Genomic DNA, 23,810 nt, shown 5'->3' with positions numbered 1-23,810 from the left:
CTTTTCATACCTTTATATTCCAAGGCTCAGATAGTTTTTAAAGGTAGTTATTTATATGTTTAAAGAGAAGTATCAAGTTTTTAAAACATTTATTAGTATCTTTTGAGTGATTTGGCTATTTCCAGTTAAAGTGTGCATTCAGTCGGTACCCTAAAACATGATCAGCAATGCCTTTGGTTTTGAGATTGTCTGTATCTGTCAATTAACTTGGCCCTAACTTTATTATCAACTTATTTGTGTTCTGCATACTTCTAAAAATGATTTTTGAGGGGGCTTGAAACAAGACTAAACATAATTTAAACAAAAGGAAAAAGATCCAAATGGAGTAAAGGGAGTTGGAGATGGGGAAGGAAAATAATTGTATTTTAAAAACCTAGGCTGAGGGAACTTTTGCAGTTGAATATAAATTTAGTTTAGAAATTCCTGGAAGCAGACTGAAGGTGAAAATATAGTAAAGTATAACCCTCAATTACAATAAAAGAATGATAGTCATCTGGGAACTAACACTTTTTAAACTAGCTATGCTTTTAGAGCATCTATATATGCCAGGCACTGGTCAAGTTCTTTGCATAGATTAGCTCATTATCATAACTGTCTAAAGTTCTAGTACTACCTCATTCTAAAGATGAATGAACTAAGGTTTAAGGATGCAAAATTGTATGACTTAGGCTACAGTTAGTAGCAGCTAGAATTAGAAGCAGGTCTGCCCCAAACACCAATGACCATTCTCTTAACCACTTTAATTGATTTCTAGCTCTGGACTCTGAGAGGGTTTATTGCTTTGATTTTTGTAGAAATAAGGGACTTTTAATAGCATAACAAAAATATTGTCACAATTTTATAAAATATACAGATCAATTTTTAAAGTTTGTACTTCCATATTAACTGATGAATTTAGTATTTTACCAACTTTTTTGGCCTGGTTTCCCATTAAGAATACCGTCTTTGGGCCAGGTGCGGTGGCTCACGGCTGTAATCCCAGCACTTTGGGAGGCCGAGGCAGGCGGATCACGAGGTCAGGAGTTCGAGACCAGACTGGCCAACATGGTGAAACCCCATCTCTACTAAAGATACAAAAAATTAGCCGGTGTGGTGGCGCGCATCTGTAATACCAGCTACTCAGGAGGCTGAGGCAGGAGAATCGCTTGAACCTGGGGGTGGAGGTTGCAGTGAGCCGAGATCGTGCCACTGCACTCCAGCCCGGGCGACAGAGTGAGACTCCATCTCCAAAAAAAAAAAAAAAAAAAAACAGAAAAAGGAAAAAAAGAAGAATACTGTCTTCGCTCCAAATTTGTGCAAAAAATTTCTTTTCTAATGTGAAATATCTACCACTGCATCAGAACCTTGTTAACTCCACTGATGGAAAGGCTGGCATCAGATGGGTATTCCTGGTGATGCCATCTCACTCTGGAGGCAATCTTGCCCCATATATTAAAACTAAATTCTGTTTCAGCAAAGACCTTTAGTGACAGTGCTTATTTAATGTGTTTAAGATACAGCAAAGTGTAGATGGTAGGGATTATATGGACTTTGGAAGGGGAAAGGGAATTTTTTGTTGTAACTAATATAACTTAAATTTTGTCCGTTTTTTTTTTCTTTTGAAACCTCACATTTTTCACACCAAGCTTGTGAACGTTTCAGAAATAAGCAGTTATTTTTACCTAACCTTGTGCTTCACAGGCTTTTATGGGCTTCAAAATCAGCTGAAGGGCCTTTAAAACACAGATTGCTGGGTCCCCCACCTAGAGGTTCTGATTCAGAAGGTCTGGGGTGGGCCTGATAATTTGCATTTCTAACAAGTGCCCAGATGATGTGGGTACTGCTGGTCTGGGACCGTACGTTGAAAATAACTGATCCAATTCATTAATAACATTTGAATTGTGATTACATTAAAATTCTGTAAAGGCAGATTAGTATTTCCTAATGTAATTTTTATGAAAATATAGTATTTTAGTATATTTTAAATGTAATTTTAACTAAGTTAACTATGTTGTATATAATGTCTAAAAAATAATTTTTCCCTCTTTCAGTAAGTTTTTGGTCCAAACTTTTTGACTATTTTTATTGTTATTTTCTTTGCTCTTCTCTCCCCATGTGTTAAGACCTTGTTTTTGTGTTGCATGTTACAGAAATCTTTCAGTGTTTCCTCTCAGCCCGTGAAGTAGCTCGTAGCCGAGACCGAGATAGAATGAACAGTGGGGCAGGGTCTGGGGCTCGAGCTGATGATCCACCTCCTCAGTCTCAGCAAGAGCGAAGGGTCAGCACAGACCTTCCTGAGGGTCAGGATGTGTACACTGCTGCATGCAACTCCGTGATCCATCGGTGTGCCCTGTTAATATTAGGAGTAAGTCCTGTGATAGATGAGCTTCAGAAGCGAAGAGAAGAAGGACAGTTGCAGCAACCTTCAACAAGTGCCTCTGAAGGGGGTGGACTTATGACCAGGTGGGACTGACTAGACACTGAAAACATGACCTACTCACTTCCCTTTATTACTTTATGCACTGAAATGGTTTGTTTCCAAAGTTACAGTGTTCTGATGTTAACATAGACATGAAAGAAGAAATGCAAATTGACTAGGATGAACTTAAAGTAAAGTAAATACTGATACTGATTCAGCATGGGCTATAAATTTCTGATTAAATGAGGAGGCACAATTTTTCGTATATATAAACAACAGCAGTGAAAAAGCATGTGAAGTTACTTGCATTGCTCTGTAGTTTAGTGACATGCAAATTATTTTGAGAAGGTCTTTGTGCTCAGACAAGAGTCAGGATTTCCTGTCAACTGACATTACTCCTCCCTGTGTGTGTATATTATCTCTGTGCTCCAATTCCATTCAATTTTATGTTCACTAACAGTCCTAAATCAAAAAACTTTTTTTTTTGTACATGTGAGACAGGAGTGAAAGTCTTACTGCAGAGAGCCGGCTAGTCCACACAAGCCCAAATTATAGACTGATCAAATCGAGGAGTGAATCTGATTTGTCTCAGCCTGAATCAGATGAAGAGGGTTACGCACTGGTAGGTATACCCAGATTCAGTAAAGAAAGATTTTTGTTTTCAAGGTATATGATATGTAAGGCTTTGGTTAGAGTAAGTAATATGTTTGTTTTAGACATATAAAAATTTTTTCAAAAATAACTTTAAGAGAAATAACTATATTGCATATATGTTTACCACATATGTGTTAATGGTTTCAATCTCTTGTTCTGACTTCTTTTTAAACTCTAAATTCATATATCTGACTCTTTGATGGACATTCCACCCGAATGAGTTGGGTTACCCCAATCTTAACCTATCTACAAGTGAACTCGTCTCTCTCCAAACCTGTTTCTCTTTTATTCCCTATTTTAGTAGGTGGTACATTAACTATCCAAGCAAGAAACTTGGGATCATCCTTGACTCTTTTTTCTTATCTCCTGATCCCTTTATTCTCCACCCCTTCCCAATCCAGTTAAGTCTTAAAAATTTTACCGTTAGTGTGTCTCCAATGTCCTCTCCTCTCCCTTTCCTTCTGCCACTGCTCTGTTTTAAACTTTCTCTTTTGAGTGGACGTGTGCAGAAGCCTTCAAACTGGTTGCCTCACCTCTTGCCTTGTGCCCACCTTCCACATTTCACAAGACTAACATATCTAAAGTACAAATCTGTTTATACCTCCTCTACTCAAAATCTTTTAACAGCTCTGTTAACTATCAAAAAAGCCTCAGAACCTGGACTGCAGGCATTTAGGGTAAAGATAAATAAGATGCTAATTTATATAAAAAGGAGGTGAGGTAAAGGTATGCTACAGTGTCACTGGTAAAATATAAAGCGAAAACTATCTAGAAGATTGCTTCTACTTGAGGAACTTTGGACTTGGAGTTAATTGGTAGCTAGGTTTTCAATTTGGCTGTTCCTCTGCCTTGTGTGTGATTCTATATGTGCTATGACCTCCCTGGGCTTTAGTGTCTTACTGTGTGATACGAAGATGGTAGTGCCTGTTGTGTATATGGTGATGTGTCAGACTTGGCTTCTGGTCTCGATTCTACTGTTAAAGAGCGGTGGGATCTTGGTCATATCATGTGACAGCTCATAGAGAAATGCTAGCGTTTGAGATGGACTTATCTATAAGCTCCATGTGTAATTCTGAAATTCCTCTGTTGTATGAACTGAGAGAAGGGATAGGAAAATATTTTTGAAAAAGTATAAAGTGCTACATAAAGAATAAGTTATTGTTTTAAAAAAGCTTCCATAAAGGATTCCTCATCTAAGGAAAGTTGAACAGTGTCTTTACGTTTCATTGTATCATGACATTTTGTTTATACTTCCTCCTTTTCTCCTTCATCTGCATTAATATCTCTGTGCTTCCACTTCATACTCCCAGTCTTATAGTCTAGTGAGATTCCTGTGCTCATTTATTTCTCTGTCAGTTAATTTTTTAAATCTGATCAATCTGACTCATTATCTAGTCTCCTAACTCTGTGATAATTTCCCTTTTTTTTGAGACAGGATATTACCCTGTCACTCAGGCTGGAGTTCAGGCTGCTCAGTGCAGCCTCGAACTCCTGAGCTCAAGCAATCCTCCTGCCTCAGCCTCCCGAGTAGCTGAGATTACAGGCATGTGCCACCATTTCTGGCTAATTTTTTAAATTTTTATGTCTTGCTCTGTTGCCCAGGCTGATCTTAAACTCCTGGCCTCAAGTGATCCTCCTGCTTCAGCCTCCCAAAGTGTTGGGATTACAGGTGTGAGCCACTGCACCCAGCTCCCAACCCTGCAATAATTTTGAAACATAGATCATGTCGTTTCTCTGCTCAGAGTCCTGCAATGACTTCCCTTTTCTCAGACTAGAAGTCTAAGTCCTTACAGGGGTCTATAGGCTCTTCATGGTCTGGTCCCACTACCTCTCTGATCTCTTCTGTTACTCTCCTCAGTGATTCTCCTTCTGTCACACTGGACTCTTAGCTGTTGCGTGAATCTGCAACACAAGTTCCCTTTAGGGCCTTAACTGGCTGTTTCTTAGGACTGGAATGCTATTGCCTGCATGGCTAACTCCCTCTCTTTCTTCAAGTCTTCATTCTGATGTTACTTTTTCCATGAAGCCTGTGCTGACCACCCTATTTAAAATGTCAATTTTCCTTCTTTTCCAAATAGTCACTTCCTGTCCCCCTTGCCTTGCTTTGTTTTTTCTGGGGCACCGATCACTTACTGTATAATTTAGTTATTCATTGATCAGTTAGTCTTAGTCTACATTAGAATATAAGCTCTTTAAGGACAGGAATTTTTTGCTGTTTTATTCACTTCTGTATCCCAAGCACCTATAATAGCACGTGGTAGGTAGTCAGGAAATTATTTTTAAATTTATAAATAACTGTCTAATCTATTTTGGCAAAATTTCCACATGCATTTGGTTTTTTCCTTTCTTTAATTGAAGTGCCCTATTACCTGTTTCTGGAGTAGGTATTTTCAAACTGGTCCCCCTACTTTTTCCAGTTTTGCTCCTTAGACACTTCTTTCCAAATTAGAACTCTTGGAAACACACATAACAACAACAAAACACCTACCTGCTGATTGTGCTACTTTCCTACTCAAACATCTTGTCTTACTGCAGAGAGATGGCTAGTCCACGCAAGTCCAAATTACAGACTGATCAAATCTAGGAGTGACTGCACTGCCTACTCGGAAATCAAAGATTCTGGGAAGTGTCACCTGCCTGCTTTTGGAACCAGTATTCTTCTGCAGTGGTCTGCATTTTTGCCATAGTAGTTCATCTGCCAGACCCCAAGCATACCTCTTGAGCCTTTGCTAAAGCACTATTTGCCTTAAAAGTTCTCCTAGGCTTCCTTGCTGATATCCTGTCTTTCCCTGAAGGACTGTCTAAAATGTTACCTCTTCCAGAAAGCTTTCCCAGCTACCTTACTCTCCCAGTTGTCCCATGACAGTTTGTTAGGATGTCTGATAATTTACCGTTTGTCTTATGTTGGACTTATTTATGTATTATTAGTATGTCTTCCCAGTAAACCCACTAGAAATCTAGGATTTTTTGGTTTTTATTTTTCCTAAATGCCCCTGATATCTCCTACACAGTGCTTTACATATTGTAAATGATTAATAACTCCTTTCAACTGAAATGAAAATATAGAAAGGAGGATGGGTAAAATTAAAGTGGTGTACTTTTGGGAAATCAGCTATGAAATCTGACTCAGAATAGGGTTAAAACTCACCATGGACTTTGACCTGTACAAGACATTTAACCTTCCTGAGCTCCAGTTTCTTTATCTTTGAAGTGGAGAATAATGCCTGTTGTACTTGCCTCAACTGTGTTGTGAAGAATAAATTTGGTAATACAATTTAAAATATCTGGAAAATTATAAATGGGGACAACAGATCAATGGAGGAGGATTGAGCTTAGATTTAATTGTTAAGATTGTTAGGTTTTCTGGTTGTTCACTTAGTTTTTAGAAAATTTTTAAAAAGACTAAAAAAAAACCCATTTTTAAAAAAGATTGGGCCAGGCGCAGTGGCTCATGCCTGTAACCCCAGCACTTTGGGAGGCTGAGGTGGGAGGATTGCTTGAGCCCAGGAGTTCGAGCCAGCAGTTCAAGACCAGCCTGGGAACATGCCAAACCTTGTCTTTACAAAAAAATAAAAAATATATATATATATTAGCTGGGTGTTGTGGTGTGCACCTGTCCCAGCTACTCGGGAGGCTGAGGTGGGAGGATCACTTGAATCTGGGAGGCGGAGGTTATAGTGAGCCGAGATGGCGCCACTGCACTCCAGCCTGGGTGACAGAGCGAGACACTGTCTCAAACAAAAAACACCAGATTGACTTTTGATCATCTTTCCTTATGGAATATTACAAAGATAGTGTCAAAAGATGGAAAAGACAAGAACTAGAGAGAAAGCAGATTCCATTTCAGATGAAGGGAGACCTGGGCTAAGCCTTCAGCTTCAGAGAGCCTGGGGTGGATGAAGAGGAGCAAGCACTTGGGATGGTTTGGGTTTTCCAGCTGAAATATGTTACCCTTCTATACTATATGAGGTTATTTAAGATTACCGTTCATATCTTTGATACCTCATTTATTCTGAATTGTTCGTAAATGAAATGCTTTTTAAAATGTTAGAAGTTAACTACTTTAATGTTAAATCTTTGTTTTAACCTTCTTTCATAAAATGTATTATATGACGTGTTATCTACTGTTATTCTCTGCTTGCTAAAACAGAGAATACCAACCCTAAGTTTAACTGTTTGACAGGTGTCATTTTTACTAACATTTCTTGCTACACCCTTCTAGTCTATTCCCTAGCTCCCTCGTTTCTGGCAGGATTTGATTTAGCATATGAAAACAGATACTTTACAAAAGGATAATTTAGATGAATGAATTAGGACTGAAAAAGGCTGAGAGAGGAAAATAAAGCCCTGGGTAAGATATTCTTATCTTGGCCCATATCCTGTGGTGTTCTGCTAGAGGTTGGTCACCACACAGGAAAAGCATAATGAGTTACATAATTCACAGTGTCTAAAAGATAAAAAACAAAATTGTTCAAGAGAACCAGATTTTTCTGGTTCTGAGGCCTGAGATTGTTTTCTTCCATGAGTCCTCATGGCAAAGGTACTATGTAATGAAAATGTTTTATTGCCTGACACAGTGATGCCTTGAGGAGCTTTATGATGACTATTTGGTGTTTTATCCAGCACCAAATGGTCCAAGAATATATAATACTTATTTCTGTTGATACATAGGTAGGTGAGTATAAGAAAATGTGTGTTTATCTGCACCAGGGGTACATGTATCTATATATATGACCAGGTAAAGATTTTATATAACATTTTCCAAATGAATCTGTTTTGTCACTTCTTCTTTTTTTTTTTTTTTTTTTTTTTTTGAGAGGGAGTCTTGCTCTGTCATCCGGGCTGGAGTGCAGTGGCACAATCTCAGCTCACTGCAACCTCCGCCTCCTGGGTTCAAGTGATTCTCCTGCCTTAGCCTCCCAAGTAGCTGGGATTACAGGCGTGTGCTACCACACCCAGCTAACTTTTGTATTTTTAGTGGAGATGGGGTTTCACCTTGTTGGCCCGGCTGGTCTCGAACTCCTGGCCTCAAGCGATCCACCTGCCTCGGCTTTCCAAAGTGCTGGGATTACAGGTGTGAGCCACCACTCCCGGCCTTGTTTTGTCACTTCCGGGCCTTCTTTGACACAAGCTTTTTGGATTGTATGATAGAGTACAATTGAAATTGCTGATACCATAATGTCAAGTCTATGCACAAGCTTAAGTCATATATGATTTGTTTATGGTTGCCTGTACATATAGGCCAAGTAGGCAGTTGTCTACATCCCCCCACCAGATACACAGGTAACACACAGAAATATACTTCCATTCTTCTTGTAAGCCTTCACTGCTTTATTAAACTGTCTGTAGTTCACCAGTTTTGAGATTTGTCTATTGTAATAGGTTTTTTAAAAAGACATTTAAAAATCTTTTCAAATACTACCAGAAGGTTTAGGACTGTTATTTTTCTGTTAGTACGGAGACTATCAGATTTTCTTCTTCTAAACACCTAGCGAAGGCTAGTGGAAGTTTTGAAAAGAAAGTGAAGCTAGAGGAAGGAGTAGTAATTTTGGAAAATAAGGCACTACTTCAAGGCTTTAGGCATCCGGAAGGTGCTAATAAGATCATACTGTGTCTGGAAGATAAAAGACAAAGATTCCAATGGAAAAAGGTAACAAAAACTACTGCTACTCTGCAATGTTAATTAATGTGAGTTTTTTAGTTAGTGTTTCAGAGTTATATGTGCTTGAGCCTCCTTATAGCTATGTTCAGTGGGTTTTTAGGGACATTTTGTTATTAGTTTGACTTGAATGATGAATAAGTAAGACATTGCTGTAATTACATGAATTTCTATTCTAATACTCTATTAAATCTTAATCTTAAAATACTTTTCACAACTAAATTTTATTTATTTACTTTTTACTTTTAATAGAGTGGCAGACGAAATGTTGATTTGGATTTGGCAGCATCTCACAGAAAGAGAGGTAAGTGTAAGTATTAAGAACATAGTAAATATCTTAGTGAGACCCTGTCTCAAAAAAAAAAAAAGAGCATAGTAAATAAATTAAGAAGCTGTTTTTATATCTGATGTATTTAGATATGATTGTCTTTGAAATGTAACTGCAAAAAATTTCAGAATCATTTTATCAGAAGAGTTAAAACGAAGACTATTTTCTTTAAAATATGTACGCTTTAAAAATCTGGGAATGTTTAGGAGTTAATAATCAGTTATTTTCTCATTTGTCATGTATTTTGACTTTTTAAAAGTCCTATAGAATTCTAAAAACAGTACATTCCATTATGATGGAAAGGGGTTATTTACAAAATTTTCCATGTTTTAGCTCACAGAGTTGTTACAGTTTAAATGGTGTTACAGGGAGAACTTCTTACCCCGTACACGTGTACACACACGTTGAAATAAAAAGTTTCTATTTTTTTTCCCTCTTGGCCTATTAAGATAAAGCATGTAAGAGATGCTTTATCTCTTACATGAAGAGATATTATATCTCTTACATAAAAAATATTTTAAAAATTTCATGAGGAACAAATTAGAGTGTCATTGAGAGTTAAGGTCTTTTGTTAATGAATAGTATAGTTAACTCATGGTTGTGTGTACAAATTGAGGAAAAACCCAGCAGTTTTAGATAGTGTAAATCCAATGATAACTAAAAACTCTCTTAAGCATTTTTCTCTATTAACTGGTACTGCTGCTTTTTTTTTTTTTTTTTTTTTTGGAGACAGGGTCTTGCTTTGTTGTCCAGGCTGGAGTGCAGTGGCACCATCATAGCTCACTGCAGCCTTGGCCTCCTGTGCTCAAGGGATCCTCCTACTCCAGCCTCCCAAGTAGCTGGGACTGCAGGTGTGCACCACCATGCTCAGCTAGTTTTTTATTATTTTTGTAGAGATAAGGTCTCCCTATTTGCCCAGGCTGGTCTTGAACTCCTGGGCTCAAGCAGTCCTCCCACCTTGGCCTCCCAAAGTGCTGGGATTATTGTATGCATGAGCCACCATGCCTACCCTAACGTATTTTTTATTTAAAACCATTTATTAAGTGGTTGTGAAAATGTGAAGTGTTAAAAATTGCCACTAGTGGCAGTTTTCTAAAAGCCTGTGAAAAAATTTTTTTTCATGATATTAAATCTTTTGTATTTCAGAATGAAACCCTTCTCTTAATAGCTTCCTTGGCAGAATGTTAGGTTTCTCATCCATAGAAAAAAAACAGAAATGAGGGAAAGCAATGCACACATAATTTTTTCATTTTCATGTATATAGCTCAAAAGAATAAATGTTGTTACTTAAAATTTGGCAATATTTCATCATTTAATTACAATTAGAATAGAAAGAATGGGCCAGGTGTGGTGGCTCACACCTGTAATCCCAGCACTTCGGAAGGCTAGTCTGGGCAACATAGTGAGACCCCTGTCTCTGCCAAAAAGAAAAAAAAAAGCTAGGCGTGGATGCATGCACCTGTATTTCTAGCTACTCAGGAGGCTGAGGTGAGAAAATCACAGGAGCCCAGGAATTCGAAGTTGCAGGGTACTGTGATCATGCCACTGCACTCCAGCCTGTGTGACAACAGTGAGACCCTGTCTCAAAAAAAAAGAATACAGAGAATGATTTCTCTGAAATATTAGGAATAATAAAGACCAGAGCTTTCTTTATCGAGAAGTCTTTTGAGACCATAACATACCAAAGCTGCTGAGTTTCTTAAAAAAAAATTACAGAGGGTGGGGTGTCGTGGCTCATGCCTGTAATCCCAGCACTTTGGGAGGCTGAGGTGGGCGGATCACGAGGTCAGGAGATCGACACCATCCTGGCTAACATGGTGAAACCCTGTCTCTACTAAAAATACAAAAAATTAGCCGGGCGTGGTGGTGGGCGCCTGTAGTCCTGGCTATTCGGGAGGCTGAGGCAGGAGAATGGTGTGAACCCAGGAAGCGGAGCTTGCAGTGAGCCGAGATCGCACCACTGCACTCCAGCCTGGGCGACAGAGCGAGACTCCATCTCAAAAAAAAAAAAAAAAAAAAAATTACAGAGTATTTGTATTATCAAAAAAATTAAGTGATGTTTAGTATAATGTGCAACATGCATTTCATTATTTGGTAATTCTTTGAAAATTGGTAGTTCATTTTGACTTAGGAATTAAATTTTTGGAACAGATTTACTTTCCTAATTTTGTTTAGCTCAGGTGAATATAATTGCTAAAAGTTGTATGTTATATTAATAAATGTATATCATTTGGCGCTAGAGAGAAAATGGCTCCAGACTTACTGAGTAGCATAAGAAATCCAATTTATAGTTTATACTATATTAGTTAAGTTTATAAGTAATAGTTCATTGGTTAAAATTGTTTTCTCTCAAATCTCTATCATGCATATGGAAATATAATTTGAGATTCAGTCTGTGTTAACCAGGTCAGCATGTACAAAATAATATCTTTGGAATAAAAGAAAGTAGAATCTTCATCTTTCCAACTAAGAAAAAACTGTAATTTGAATGTGAATTACTTAGGCATGGATATAACACATTTAGGAGATTATATTTTCAAAGAGATTTTACAAAAATATTGTATATTTAGTGACTGCCCTTTGACACAGTAGGGTTTTTTTGTTTTGCTTTTAAATGATAGTAAAATAAATGACTGTATTTTTTTTCCTTTTTTGTCAGTATAGACCAGATGCCTTAAGCCATAAAATCTTCAGTTGGGCAGTTGAACCTGCCAAGTCTGAGAACTGTTTGGGAGCCATTCAAACTGTTGAGTATTCTGATTCTGACTTGAGCCATGAAGGACAAACAAATGTCCAGCCAAGTGAGAATTCTCTTTTTTTTTCTTTCTTTTTTTTTTTTGAGACAGTGTCTTGCTCTGTCACCCAGGCTGGAGTACAGTGGTGCGATCACAGCTCACTGCACCACTGAGGCTCAACCTCCCCAGGCTCAAGTGACCCTCCCATCTGAGCCTCTCAAGTAGCTGGGAGGGACTGCAGGCACATGCCACTATGCCTGGCTAATTTTATTTATTTATTTTATATATTTTTTTATTTTGTAGAAACGGGGTTTCGCCATGTTGCTCAGTCTGGTCTTGAACTGGGCTCAAGCAGTCCACCCACCTTGGCCTCCCAAAGTGCTGGAATTACAGAAATGAGCCACCGTGCCTGGCCAAGAATTCTATGTGCTTGTTTACCCCTTCCAATATTTTGAGGAGGAAATGTAAAATGTTTTCCCTCATACAGCATTTGCATTTACTAGTCTCAGTGGTCTTGAATTACTAAAAGCCTGATGAGAGGAATAGGAGAGAGATAATGCTGTTTAATTATATCCTGTTTACTGAAGTTTAATGGATGTATAAATGACAATGGGTGTATACACATTTTCAGCTGCTCTTTCCATGCCTGCAAAGGCTCCTCCTTGAGAGGGCCCATTGCCTGTAATCTCAGTATTTGACAGTGGGGATACTAAGATTCACGCTGTTGAACCACAATTGCGCCTTTTTCTCCCCTCACTTCAGTTAATGTTTCACAATTGGTCTAAGCCCTTGGTCTGAGAAAGTGAATATGTAGGAAGGGGCAAAGAAATGTGGGCAGATACATTTAGCCACCTTGCTCAGCTTTTCAGAGGCATCAAAGCTAAATTTACTCTTTTTTTTTTTTTTTTTTTGAGACAGAGTCTCGCTCTGTAGCCCAGGCTGGAGTGCAGTGGCGTGATCACGGCTTACTGCAACCTCCTCCTCACGGGTCCCTGTTCAAGCAATTCTCCTGCCTCAGCCTCCTGAGTAGCTGGGATTATAGGCATGTGCTGCTAAGCCCAGCTAATTTTTGTATTTTTAGTAGAGACGGAGTTTCACCATGTTGGCCAGGCTGGTCTTGAACTCCTGACCTCGTGATCCCCCCACCTTGGTCTCCCAAAGTACTGGGATTACAGGCGTGAGCCACCATGCCCGGCCAGCTAAATTTACTTCTAAAAGAGGTGGATGAAACATTTCTTCTGCTTAGCACCTCAGAGGCAATATGAAATTTGTATTTAGTAAACATTTATAAACTACTTACTATATGAGCATTGTTCTAAGCCCTTCACAAATATTATAGTAACTCATTTAATTTTCATAACAGCCTGATAAAATTCTTGACAAAACCTGTAAAAATATGTTAGTAATTTGGTACTTTGATAAAACTTAAAAGATTTGCTATGGTTGTACGATTGTTTACAGAAAGACAATACGTTTTTGCAGATACTTGATTTTAGTTTTCATATTTAAGCTGAAGATGATACAGTGAAAAGTTGTGGGATATCAAAACAGCAACTTAAGCAGCATCAGAAATCTTATTAGTTAAAATACTGTGTGGTTTGATTATCGCCCCTAATCTTTAAATATTTTGATAGGGTTTTATTGCTAAAATAATACTGGAAACATTTATCAACATGTGTGTTTCATGGTATAACATGTATGGGTGAAATGCTATTTTGTCTGTGCATTTCAAATTAGATGATATAAAGAAAAGCGAATGTAAATGTTTCTCTCCTGTATCAAATTTCTCCTTTTGTTTTCTGATTCTCGTGTGGTAGTGTATTTACTCCTTTTTGGCCAGTTGAGCCCCAGAAAAAAGAAGAGCTTCAAGCAAGTACATGATGGCATGTTTAATTTTTTTCCCCTTTTAGCTTGCCTACATATTTTATGGTTTATAAAGTATGTATTGCAGCTCTGCCATGTTCATTTTGAAAATTCCATTTAAAAACCAAACTTGTAAGGACAAGTAAACAATCTCAAAAATTTTTTGTTGGATTTTGTATTTTCTTTATATAGTAGGTGATTCTGAATTAGTATTAAGAATTGGGCTTAGTCTCAATTGTTATGTAGAAGCTTTTAATGCCCTTTTCAGATATAATATTTCCTGTATTCAGATAGTACAGAGCAAACCAAAGTTATCAGATTGTTATACTTAAAAAAAAAATTAAAGTTCTTTCCTCTCCCATTTCCATATTATAAATTTTTGTGTTTTAAGTCTTTTTGATGTCAAACTAAATATTTTGATGGAAATTATTTATCCTGATGCTTCCACATAGTGTGTTTCCTGTTCTTAATATTTTATTTATACAAAGTTACATTTGGGTTAATTTCATCCGTTAGGGCTCAGCAGACTACAGCTAGGAGGCCAAGACTGACCTGGCATCTATTTTTATCAGGTTTTATTGGAACACAGCCACACTCATTTATTTAAGTGGTTGCTTTCATACTACAACAGCAGAGTTGTGTAGTTGTCACAGAGACCTTATGGTCTGCAAAGCCTAAAATATTTACTGTCTGGCCCTTTACAGAAAAAGTTTGCCAACCCCTGCTTTAAATTGCAGAAGATTTAATTTTGGGCTTCGTCAGCCATTCCATAGAATATTTTGGTTTATATGAAGACAGTTCAGTATTGGTAGATTCATAATTGAACCTTTATATAGGCAGGCAATTGAAATTTCCATCAGTGATTTGTGAGTTGGTTAATAATGAATATGTAAGACTACCTCCCATAAAATTAAGGAATTAATGTCATTATGTGACAAACCAATTTTTTTGTGCCTCTGTTTCCTCATTTGTGAAAATTGGACTAAATAATCTTTAAGGTCTCTTTTTCTTCTGCAGTTCTAATATCAGTTCCTTGCGCATTTTATATTCATTTTGAAAAGTAATTTATAAGTATTAGTAACTAGAAGAACCTTTTATTCTAAAATTTTAATATTTAAAAAAAAACACCCCCCCAAAAAACAAGTTCAATGTGAGGAGCCAGAATCTATCATTTGTAAGTTAAGGCTAAATACAGATTCTGAATTTGAGGTGCTTTAAGGAAATGAAAAAAGAATGTATATATTTTTTACATTAGCCTCTACTTTATTCTTTAAATATTTTTAACTTAATACATTATGCATCTATGATATTATTCTTTGAATTTTCAGTTTTTTCTGTGTCACATGAAAGAATATTCAGGTCTACAATTTGGGGAAATTTTTAGGTAGGTTGTTATTTTTCATGTTCAGCAAGAATGAAAATTAAGCTTTTTTTTTTTTTTTTTTTTTTGAGGCAGGGTCTCGCCCTGTCACCCAGGCTGGAGTGCAGTGGTGAAAATTAAGCCTTTTTAAATCTTAATAATTCTTTCTAAAACACAGAAGGCAGATAAACCATATATTCTTTGCCATTCTACATTATTTTACTAGGATACATATAAATTATTTCATAGTTACTTTGTAATATTAGCTCCGTGTTACGAATTTTGAAATCCTAGGGTTTAATTGACACCAGTATAGTAATTCAAAAATAAGATTCTACATTGAATATTGTTGTTAGTTTGTTTTCTCTGTGGGCATTAGTGTTTAAGTAGTTATCTTCCCAAACTTTTCTATCTAGTTACATAACTGATATAATTTTTATGCATATTTAATTGGGTACCTTAAGATACTTCCCTAATTGAGAAATGTAGTATATTCACATAATAGGATGTTATACAGCAATCAAATAAATGAACCATGGTTACACTTAGTAATGTGGATGAATATTAGCAATATTATATTGAATGAAAGAGTGTGTCCAAAAAGGTGATATAAAATGATACTCTTTTTTAAAAGTCAACGACAACTAAAACCATTATTCATCTTAGGAATACATTAAAACAATAAAAACAAGGAAATAATAAACCCAGGCCTCAGGATAATAAAACTTTAGGTAGCAAGAGATGGGCTGGAGGAGGAGCAAATAGATAGAAGTTACTGTTAGTTTTCTAGTTCTTGTGTTCACAGATATTTATTATAAATATGTGATTTCAAAATTGGGCCATGCATGGACCAATGATGAGAGTATGTCATGACGAAAGGATTGTAGTTAATCAAATTTATGTATCTGAGACCAGTTAAATTAAAGATTTGTAAGAATTGGACATTTATATATTTATTTAAAGCTAATATTGACAAATGACTTGGACAGTTGCTGTTATGTTCAAACATGTTAACATTTTGCTGTCTAATGTAAAGATTTTAGCTTAAAAAATACCCACTGGCAAATCTAATGGTATTATATTTAGCAACTATTTTGATGCCACTTGATAATTTTATATAGGTATCATTTTACAGTAAATCTCATATTCTTGTCTGTGAAACTTTGCTTCCTCTATATAGGAGTTTCACAACCTGCAGTAAATATGCACATGACACAGTCAGTGAGAATGTTCCTTATATTAATGAAACCCAAAGGGTGATGTTTGTGTCTGCTTTTTGTGTAAGTTTACTTGCCCTTCTATATTCATTTTTTGGTAATGTTTCATTGCAGATATGTAGACACTTTGTTCAGTCTTAACTTGCCCTTTGTAATGATAATGTTAAATTAGATGAAATCTTTCTGTTTTGAGTAGGTCTTACTAGCAGTGTCTTAAGTGCCTAGTTCCTTTTTGTTCATAAATGATGATCTGGTTTAATACTGCAGAGCATTTTAAGCTAAGCATTTTGAGAACAGCTTCTGCCTTTCTTTTTCTTGTGGCAGCGTGTTGCTAAAGCGCTTACAGAGACACTGGTACATCAAACAGGGCTTTCCCTTTATTTTCTTACATTGCTCTAATTTTTGTTTGTTTGTTGTTTTTACCAAAGCATTTTGCTCAGATTCACTTAATGCATGCGCGTATTCAAACATGAGTATCCATTTTTCACCAGTTGGTTATGGTAGCAGCACTCAGCCTTATCTAGTTTCAGAATGTATGCTCTACTTGATTGCCATTGATATATGTTTATTCTGTTTGTATATAGGTCCTATGCACAGTCAATTGGAATCCCTGAGTGACTCTTGGGCTCGCCTGAAACATAGCAGAGACTGGTTATGCAACTCCTCCTATTCCTTTGAGTCAGATTTTGATCTTACCAAGTCTTTGGGAGTTCACACTTTGATTGAAAATGTTGTAAGCTTTGTGAGTGGAGATGTGGGGAATGCCCCAGGTTTTAAAGAGCCAGAGGAAAGTATGTCTACAAGTCCCCAGGCCTCCATCATTGCAATGGAACAGCAGCAGTTAAGGGCAGAAGTAAGTCTTTGATATTTACTCCTTATGAGAGCTCTGGAAACTTAAAACTGAACCATTGAATGTATAGTTCTAGGGAAAACCTTTCCTTTTCTTCTATTCCTTGCCTTCCCCTTTCCTGTACCTGAGCTTTTAAACATAACATTCTTCACTAGAACAGCACATTATTTTGTTTGAACTAGACAAAAGTGCATTTTAAAATTGTCATCTCTCAGAACAATATACTCAGAAGTCTTCACATGTCTCCTACAAACTAGGGTGAGACTAGTTGATGACAATAGGTCATCAGAGCCTTTTTTTTTTTTTTTTTTGGAGACGGAGTTTCGCTCTCGTTGCCCAGGCTGTAGTGCAATGGTGAGATCTTGACTCACTGGAACCTCTGCCTCCTGGGTTCAAGTGATTCTCCTGCCTCAGCCTCCAGAGTAGCAGAGATTATAGGCATGCGCCACCATGCTTGGCTAATTTTTTTGTATTATTAGGAGAGACAAAGTTTCACCATGTTGGCCAGGCTGGTCTCGAGCTTCTGACCTCAGGTGATCCACTTGCCTCGGCCTCCCAAAGTGCTGAGATTACAGGTGTGAACCACCACTCCTGGCCCTGAGCCTTCATTTTTGACCCATTTGTCTCAGTTTAAATTAGACACCTGCTTCAGGTTAGAACCTCACAGAAATAATTGCTGCAATCAAGACCCACTGTTGAATGCTAAAATGAGTGAGCAAAACTTGAAAGAGACATAAGATGTTTGCATAGCCTTAAAGTATCTTCCCCCAAATATTTATTAATTATTGTGGTTTTAACATGTCCACAATTCTTCCATAGTTCTCCCTGCAGGAAGTGGAGATTAATTCTTCTCTCCTTGAGAGTGAGCTGGACTTAGTGGCTTGCTTCTAACAAATAGGCTATAGGAAGGAGATAAAATTGTAACTTCACATTGCAGAAACCTGGCAGGTATTGCCTTAACTAAATGATTAAGATTGGCCGGGCGCGGTGGCTCACTCCTGTAATCCCAGCACTTTGGGAGGCCAAGGTGGGTGGATCACCTGAGATCAGGAGTTTGAAACCAGCCTCACCAGCGTGGTGAAACCCCATCTCTACTAAAAATACAAAAATTAACTGGGCGTGGTGGTGGATGCCTGTAATCCCAGCTACTTGGGAGGCTGAGGCGGGAGAATCACTTGAACCCAGGAGGCAGAGGTTGCAGTGAGCCGAGATCGCGCCATTGCACTCCAGCCTGGGCAACAAGAGTGAAACTCCATCTCAAAAAAAAAAAAAAAAAAAAATCAAGATTAACATCACCTGTATTAAGTCATGTCGATATAGTGTAATGAGAACACTTTATGTGGTATTCTTCCCCCAAATCCATAATTCCACTGTAGTCATGAGAAAAAAATCAGACAACCCAAAATTTAGGGACATCTACAAAATATATGAACAGCTCTTCCGAAGTGTCGTCATGAAAAAGAAGGAAAGACAGAATCTGTCACAGGGTAGGAGAAACTAAAAAGTCATGGCAACTAAATGCAATGTGGTATCTAGGATTAAATCCTGGAAAAGGAAATGAACATTATGGAAAACTAAAATCCAAATAGTCTTTTAATTAATACTATTTTACTTTAGGTTTAGTTGATAGTATTGTACCAATGTTAATGTCTTAGTTTTCATAAATGTACCATGGTTATGTAAGATGTTAAGATTAGGGGAAGCTCAAGGAAGAGTATACAAGAACTCTCTGTACCATCTTTACAACTTTTCTGTATATCTAAAATTATTTCAAAATAATTTTTTTTTTTTTTTTTTAAAGAAGAAGGATAAGCTGATCAACTACAGTGATGGGGAGTGTCTTCCTAGGGAAGATAGGGGCAGAAGTTCAAGAAAACCACAGAGAAATAGTTCAGAAGTATTTCTCATTCCTGGGCTAAAGAGTATTCATTCTATATAAACTTATTAATAAAGAAAGCAGTAGCAGTACTACCTTATAGTTTTGAAACCTTCACATATATCTCCTTGTGAGCTTCACAATAGCTGTGTGAATAGATTAGATAAGGTATTATTAGTCTTATTTTATATACGAGGAAACAAATTCAGTAAGTTAAGTGACTTTCCCAAGGCCACACAGTAAGATAAAAGAGTCTGTCCTTGAAACCATGTCTCCTACATCCAAAGCTACTACTTTTCCTATTGTACTCTAACCTTTTTTATTCTGATGTGTGCTTATAGAGTTTTTAGAAAATCTTCAAAAAAAGTAATAATAATAAAATAAATGTTTATCTTAGAATAGATTCATATGAAATGTCAGAATTTTCTAAGTGTTAAAAATACTGTTTTTGGCATACAGAGTTTCATCATGTCTGAGTTAAGTGAAGAACTCTAAAATATGTTTTTTTCCTCAAGCTTCGTTTAGAGGCACTTCATCAGATCCTCGTTCTATTGTCTGGGATGGAAGAAAAAGGTAGCATCTCACTGGCAGGAAGCAGATTGAGTTCAGGCTTCCAGTCCTCCACACTACTCACGTCTGTGAGGCTGCAGTTCCTAGCAGGGTGTTTTGGTTTAGGCACTGTTGGACACACAGGAGGCAAGGGAGAGAGTGGCCGATTGCATCACTATCAGGTAGGTGACACCTTGCAGTATATACAGATTTTAACTGTCATTTTACAAAGCCACTTTAATAATGTGAAACTTTTTGGTGTTTATGATTCAGTTTAAAAATACAAAGACTTTAAATTTTTTAAGATAGCTCCTTGGTTCCATTTCCTAAATAATGCAGTAGAGATTAGGTGAGCTGTGGTATTATTGTACTATTGTAGATTATTTGCTGGCTCGGTTTTATTAATCCAGTTTTATTATCCAGTTTGGATGGGAATAGATCCAAGTAAGGATAGGGATTGGAGTTTGGGAGGATGGGTTTCAAGAGCTTACGTTTTAGATTTGATCGTTTACCTAGTTTGTGTGATTCCTTTGATAACTTAGAAAAAAATGTTATCTTTATGTCTTTCATATTTAGGCAGGAAAAACTGCTTTGTGAGGAAATAGATTATACAGACTCGGCCGGGCGTGGTGGCTCACACCTATAATCCCAGCACTTTGGGAGGCTGAGGTGGTCGGATCACCTGAGGTCAGGAGTTCAAGACCAGCCTGGCCAACATGGCGAAACCCCGTCTCTACTAAAAATACCAAAAATTAGCTGGGCGTGGTGGTGGGCGCCTGTAATCCCAGGTACTCAGGAGGCTGAGGCAGGGAGAATCGCTTGAACCCGGGAGGTGGAGGTTGCAGTGAGCGAAGATCACCCCACTACACTCCAGCCTGGGCAACAGAGCAAGACTCCATCTCAAAAAAAAAAAAAAAAAAAAGATTATACAGACTCAACAATTATCAAGCATTTAAAATTAAATTTGGAGGCTGGGCATGGTGGCACCCATCTGTAGTCCCAGCACTTTGGGAGGCCAAGGCTGTTGGATTGCTTGAGCTCAGGAGTTTAAAACCCGCCTGGACAATATGGCGAAACCCTGTCTCTACAGAAAATACAAAAAATTAGCCAAGTGTGGTGGTATGTGCCTGTAGTCCCAGCTACTTGGGAGGCTGAGATGGGAGGCTCACTTGAGCCTGGGAGGCAGAGGTTGCAGTGAGCCAGGATTGCACCACTGCACCCCAGCATGGGTGATACAGCAAGACCCTGCCTCAAAAAAAAATTATTATATACTTTATATATGAAATATAGTAAATAATTAAAAACCATCGTAAGGCTCTAGCATAGACTAGAAATAAAATGTTATTACTTCTTTTTGCAAGCAGGTATTATTGTTGCTAATAGAAAAAGTAATTCTTTATGTGTAATTCAGGATGGGATCAGAGCAGCTAAGAGAAATATTCAGATTGAAATCCAGGTAGCTGTGCATAAAATTTATCAACAGTTGTCTGCTACCCTGGAAAGAGCCCTGCAAGCAAACAAGCATCACATTGGTAAGTAAACGGTTCCTGCAAATGTACAGTGCAGGTTACATTTTAGCCCGAGGTTATGGTACTAGTTATGTTCTATATTTTGTGTTTAACATTAGTAGATAAACTTATAGGTAAAGAATAAATAATTTAGTGTTTCATGTTATTAATATTTTAGAAAATTATTCATTTTAATAAATGCTTTGTTTACTGAAAGGAAGATTCTTAACTGTCTCTTTGTCTTTTAGAAGCCCAGCAACGTCTGCTTCTGGTTACAGTTTTTGCCCTAAGTGTTCATTATCAACCAGTAGATGTTTCTTTGGCAATTTCCACTGGTCTGCTAAACGTATTGTCACAGTTGTGTGGTACAGACACCATGCTAGGACAGCCCCTGCAGTTGTTGCCAAAGACGGGTGTTTCCCAGCTTAGCACAGCTTTGAAAGTGGCCAGTACAAGGTTGCTCCAGATTCTAGCCATCACTACTGGGTAAGTATGGTAGATGTCTTTGTAGAACTGTATGAAGTCTGGTCTTCCTCCATTTTAGAATTCCCCCTTTCCCTCTAATCTGCTTTATGTATTTAAGCACTATGCTTGCCCTTCTGTGTGTTTGCCACTTATTTTTTTCTTTTATTTCACATAGGACCTATGCTGATAAACTGAGTCCCAAAGTAGTTCAATCCTTGTTGGATCTACTCTGTAGTCAGTTGAAGAATTTATTGTCCCAAACTGGTGTACTACATATGGCCTCTTTCGGAGAAGGGGAGCAAGAAGACGGTGAAGAAGAAGAAAAAAAAGTTGACTCCAGTGGAGAAACTGAGAAGAAAGATTTCAGAGGTAATGTAAGCCTCTTTCTCTGTCTTTACTTACAAGCATTTATTAAAACCCCATTGTGTGCATATGATTAGGATGTAGAGTTCCTCTTCCTTATGAGGTATGATGGGATTTTTATTTGTTTATTTACAAACCTCTTTTCTCTTCACGTATATATGATTTAGATGAGCTTCTGACCAAACATCTCTGCTTAGAGTCTGTTAACCCTCATGTTGTGACCATACTGCCCATTCTGTAGGTTCAGCCTCTCCTTGGCTGTCTGGGCTCTGAGACCTAGATTTTAGATGATTGATTTTCCCCAGGTTGCATTTTGCCTAGGGGGAAGCTCAGATGTTTTCTTAGCATTTGATCCTGACAAGCCATCTCTAACCTTGATCCTGACAAGCCATCTCTAACCTAAGTCCTGACCTAAATTGTCCCCCAGGCCAGGCGCAGTGGCTCACAACCGTAATGCCAACACTTTGGGAGGCCAAGGTGGGTGGATTGCTTGAGCCCAGGAGTTCAAGATCAGCCTGGGCAACATGGTGGAACCCCATCTCTACTAAAAATATGAAAATTAGCCTGGCATGGTGACGCATGCCTGTAGTGCCAGCTGCTTGGGAGGCTAAAGCACAAGAATCACTTGAACCCGGGAGGTGGAGATTGCAGTGAGCTGAGATCACACCACTGCACTTTAGCCTGGATGACAGAGCGAGAGCCTGTCTCAAAAAAAAAAAAAAGAAAAAGAAAATTCCCCAGCACCAAGGGTTTTGATATCTGTTTGTTTTCTGGGTTTTTTTTGTTGTTGTTGAGACAGAGTCTCACCCTGTCACCCAGGCTGGAGTGCAGTGGCATGATCTGGGCTCACTGCAACCTCTGCCTCCCAGGTTCAAGCGATTGTGCTGCCTCAGCCTGAGTGGCTGGGGTTGCAAGCGTGTGCCACCACACCCATCTAATTTTTGTGTTTTTATTAGAGACGGGGTTTCGCTATGTTGGCCAGGCTGATCTTGAACTCCTGACCTCAAGTGATCCGCCCGCCTCGACCTCCCAAAGTGCTGGGATTACAGATGTGAGCCATTGCGCCTGTCCTGATATTTGGGAACTGGATTATAATTAGGAGGAGCTCGACTTCTTCCTAGACTGTTCTGTTCTCTAGTCACCAATAATTCTTTATTATACTTAGTCATCATAGTTATAGCATATTCATTTTTATTGTACAGAGATGTAAAAGGCGTTTCAAGTTTAGGCTTTGTTTTCTGACCTTTCCCCATTCTGTTCTTTAAGTTTTCAGAATTCAGTAGCTGACAGCCTAAGATTTTGCATTAGATTTGTGCTTACTGCAGTTTCAAGGTAAATTATGTGATATAAGACTATTTCTTGTTGGCTCTTGGTTGTAACGTAAACTTGTCTCTTCACTGTAGCTGCTCTTAGGAAACAACATGCAGCCGAACTCCATCTAGGGGATTTTTTAGTTTTTCTTCGCAGAGTTGTATCTTCAAAAGCAATTCAATCAAAAATGGCTTCCCCAAAGTGGACCGAAGTGCTTCTAAATATAGCATCTCAGAAATGTTCTTCAGGTACATGTCCTTTGCCTTTGTCTTAGAGTATTTATAGATATTACTTGCATTTTATTAAGATAATGCCAGACTTTAGCAACACTCCATGTGTAACCTTGATTTGAAGGCTTTTCTTTCTTATTTTCTGCGTACCTATTTGATCAAAAGAAAACTCTAATTTCAGAAGTAAAAATTGGCAGAAAATAAATAATGTAGCTCTGGAGAAGATCATAGAATTTATCTAGAGAACTTCATCCTCTTTGTTCAGATTACAAACCTAAGAGTAAGCAGAGAACATCCTGTTTAATACGATATTTTAGCACAGATTCCGACCTTGCTTCTTGGATTATCAGGATGCAGATCTGAATTTGTACAGTCTCTCTTATCATAATGTGATTTCTGTTGCCTTGATTGTGACTTCTGATTGTTTGATATTTATCACAGTTC

The 23,810-nt window shown here is 37.8% G+C and overlaps 1 protein-coding gene across 50 annotated transcripts in view, besides 2 other annotated features; it reads left to right on the top strand.

The window, feature by feature from the left end:
- Positions 1-23,810, top strand: part of HERC1 (HECT and RLD domain containing E3 ubiquitin protein ligase family member 1) — a 225,331-nt gene that overhangs the window by 118,154 nt on the left and 83,367 nt on the right. For 26 of the 50 annotated variants that reach the window (XM_047433260.1, XM_047433247.1, XM_047433234.1 and 23 more), the window contains exons 23-31: positions 2,130-2,442; positions 2,900-3,020; positions 8,964-9,015; positions 16,799-17,067; positions 19,456-19,671; positions 20,901-21,021; positions 21,246-21,483; positions 21,638-21,831; positions 23,229-23,384. In XM_047433260.1, the coding sequence (XP_047289216.1) occupies positions 2,130-2,442; positions 2,900-3,020; positions 8,964-9,015; positions 16,799-17,067; positions 19,456-19,671; positions 20,901-21,021; positions 21,246-21,483; positions 21,638-21,831; positions 23,229-23,384 (1,680 nt within the window). Of the gene's footprint in view, positions 1-2,102; positions 2,443-2,899; positions 3,021-8,963; positions 9,016-13,591; positions 13,658-16,798; positions 17,068-19,455; positions 19,672-20,900; positions 21,022-21,245; positions 21,484-21,637; positions 21,832-23,228; positions 23,385-23,810 lie in introns of all 50 variants that reach the window. The other 24 variants (XM_047433240.1, XM_047433220.1, XM_047433239.1 and 21 more) reach the window with 2 other exon arrangements.
- Positions 542-1,041: an enhancer, noted in NCBI's record as "H3K4me1 hESC enhancer chr15:64006953-64007452 (GRCh37/hg19 assembly coordinates)". NCBI's record gives its function as "activates a minimal SCP1, AML or CMV promoter by ChIP-STARR-seq in primed H9 embryonic stem cells {active_cell/tissue: H9 hESC(primed)}" and the evidence as "EXISTENCE:reporter gene assay evidence [ECO:0000049][PMID:30033119]".
- Positions 1,042-1,543: an enhancer, noted in NCBI's record as "H3K4me1 hESC enhancer chr15:64006451-64006952 (GRCh37/hg19 assembly coordinates)". NCBI's record gives its function as "activates a minimal SCP1, AML or CMV promoter by ChIP-STARR-seq in naive and primed H9 embryonic stem cells {active_cell/tissue: H9 hESC(naive and primed)}" and the evidence as "EXISTENCE:reporter gene assay evidence [ECO:0000049][PMID:30033119]".

This window comes from Homo sapiens, chromosome 15 (assembly GCF_000001405.40).
Source record: "Homo sapiens chromosome 15, GRCh38.p14 Primary Assembly".
NCBI lineage: Eukaryota > Metazoa > Chordata > Mammalia > Primates > Hominidae > Homo > Homo sapiens.
Note: the sequence above shows the minus strand (reverse complement) of the source record. Positions and strands in the feature narration are given on the sequence as shown.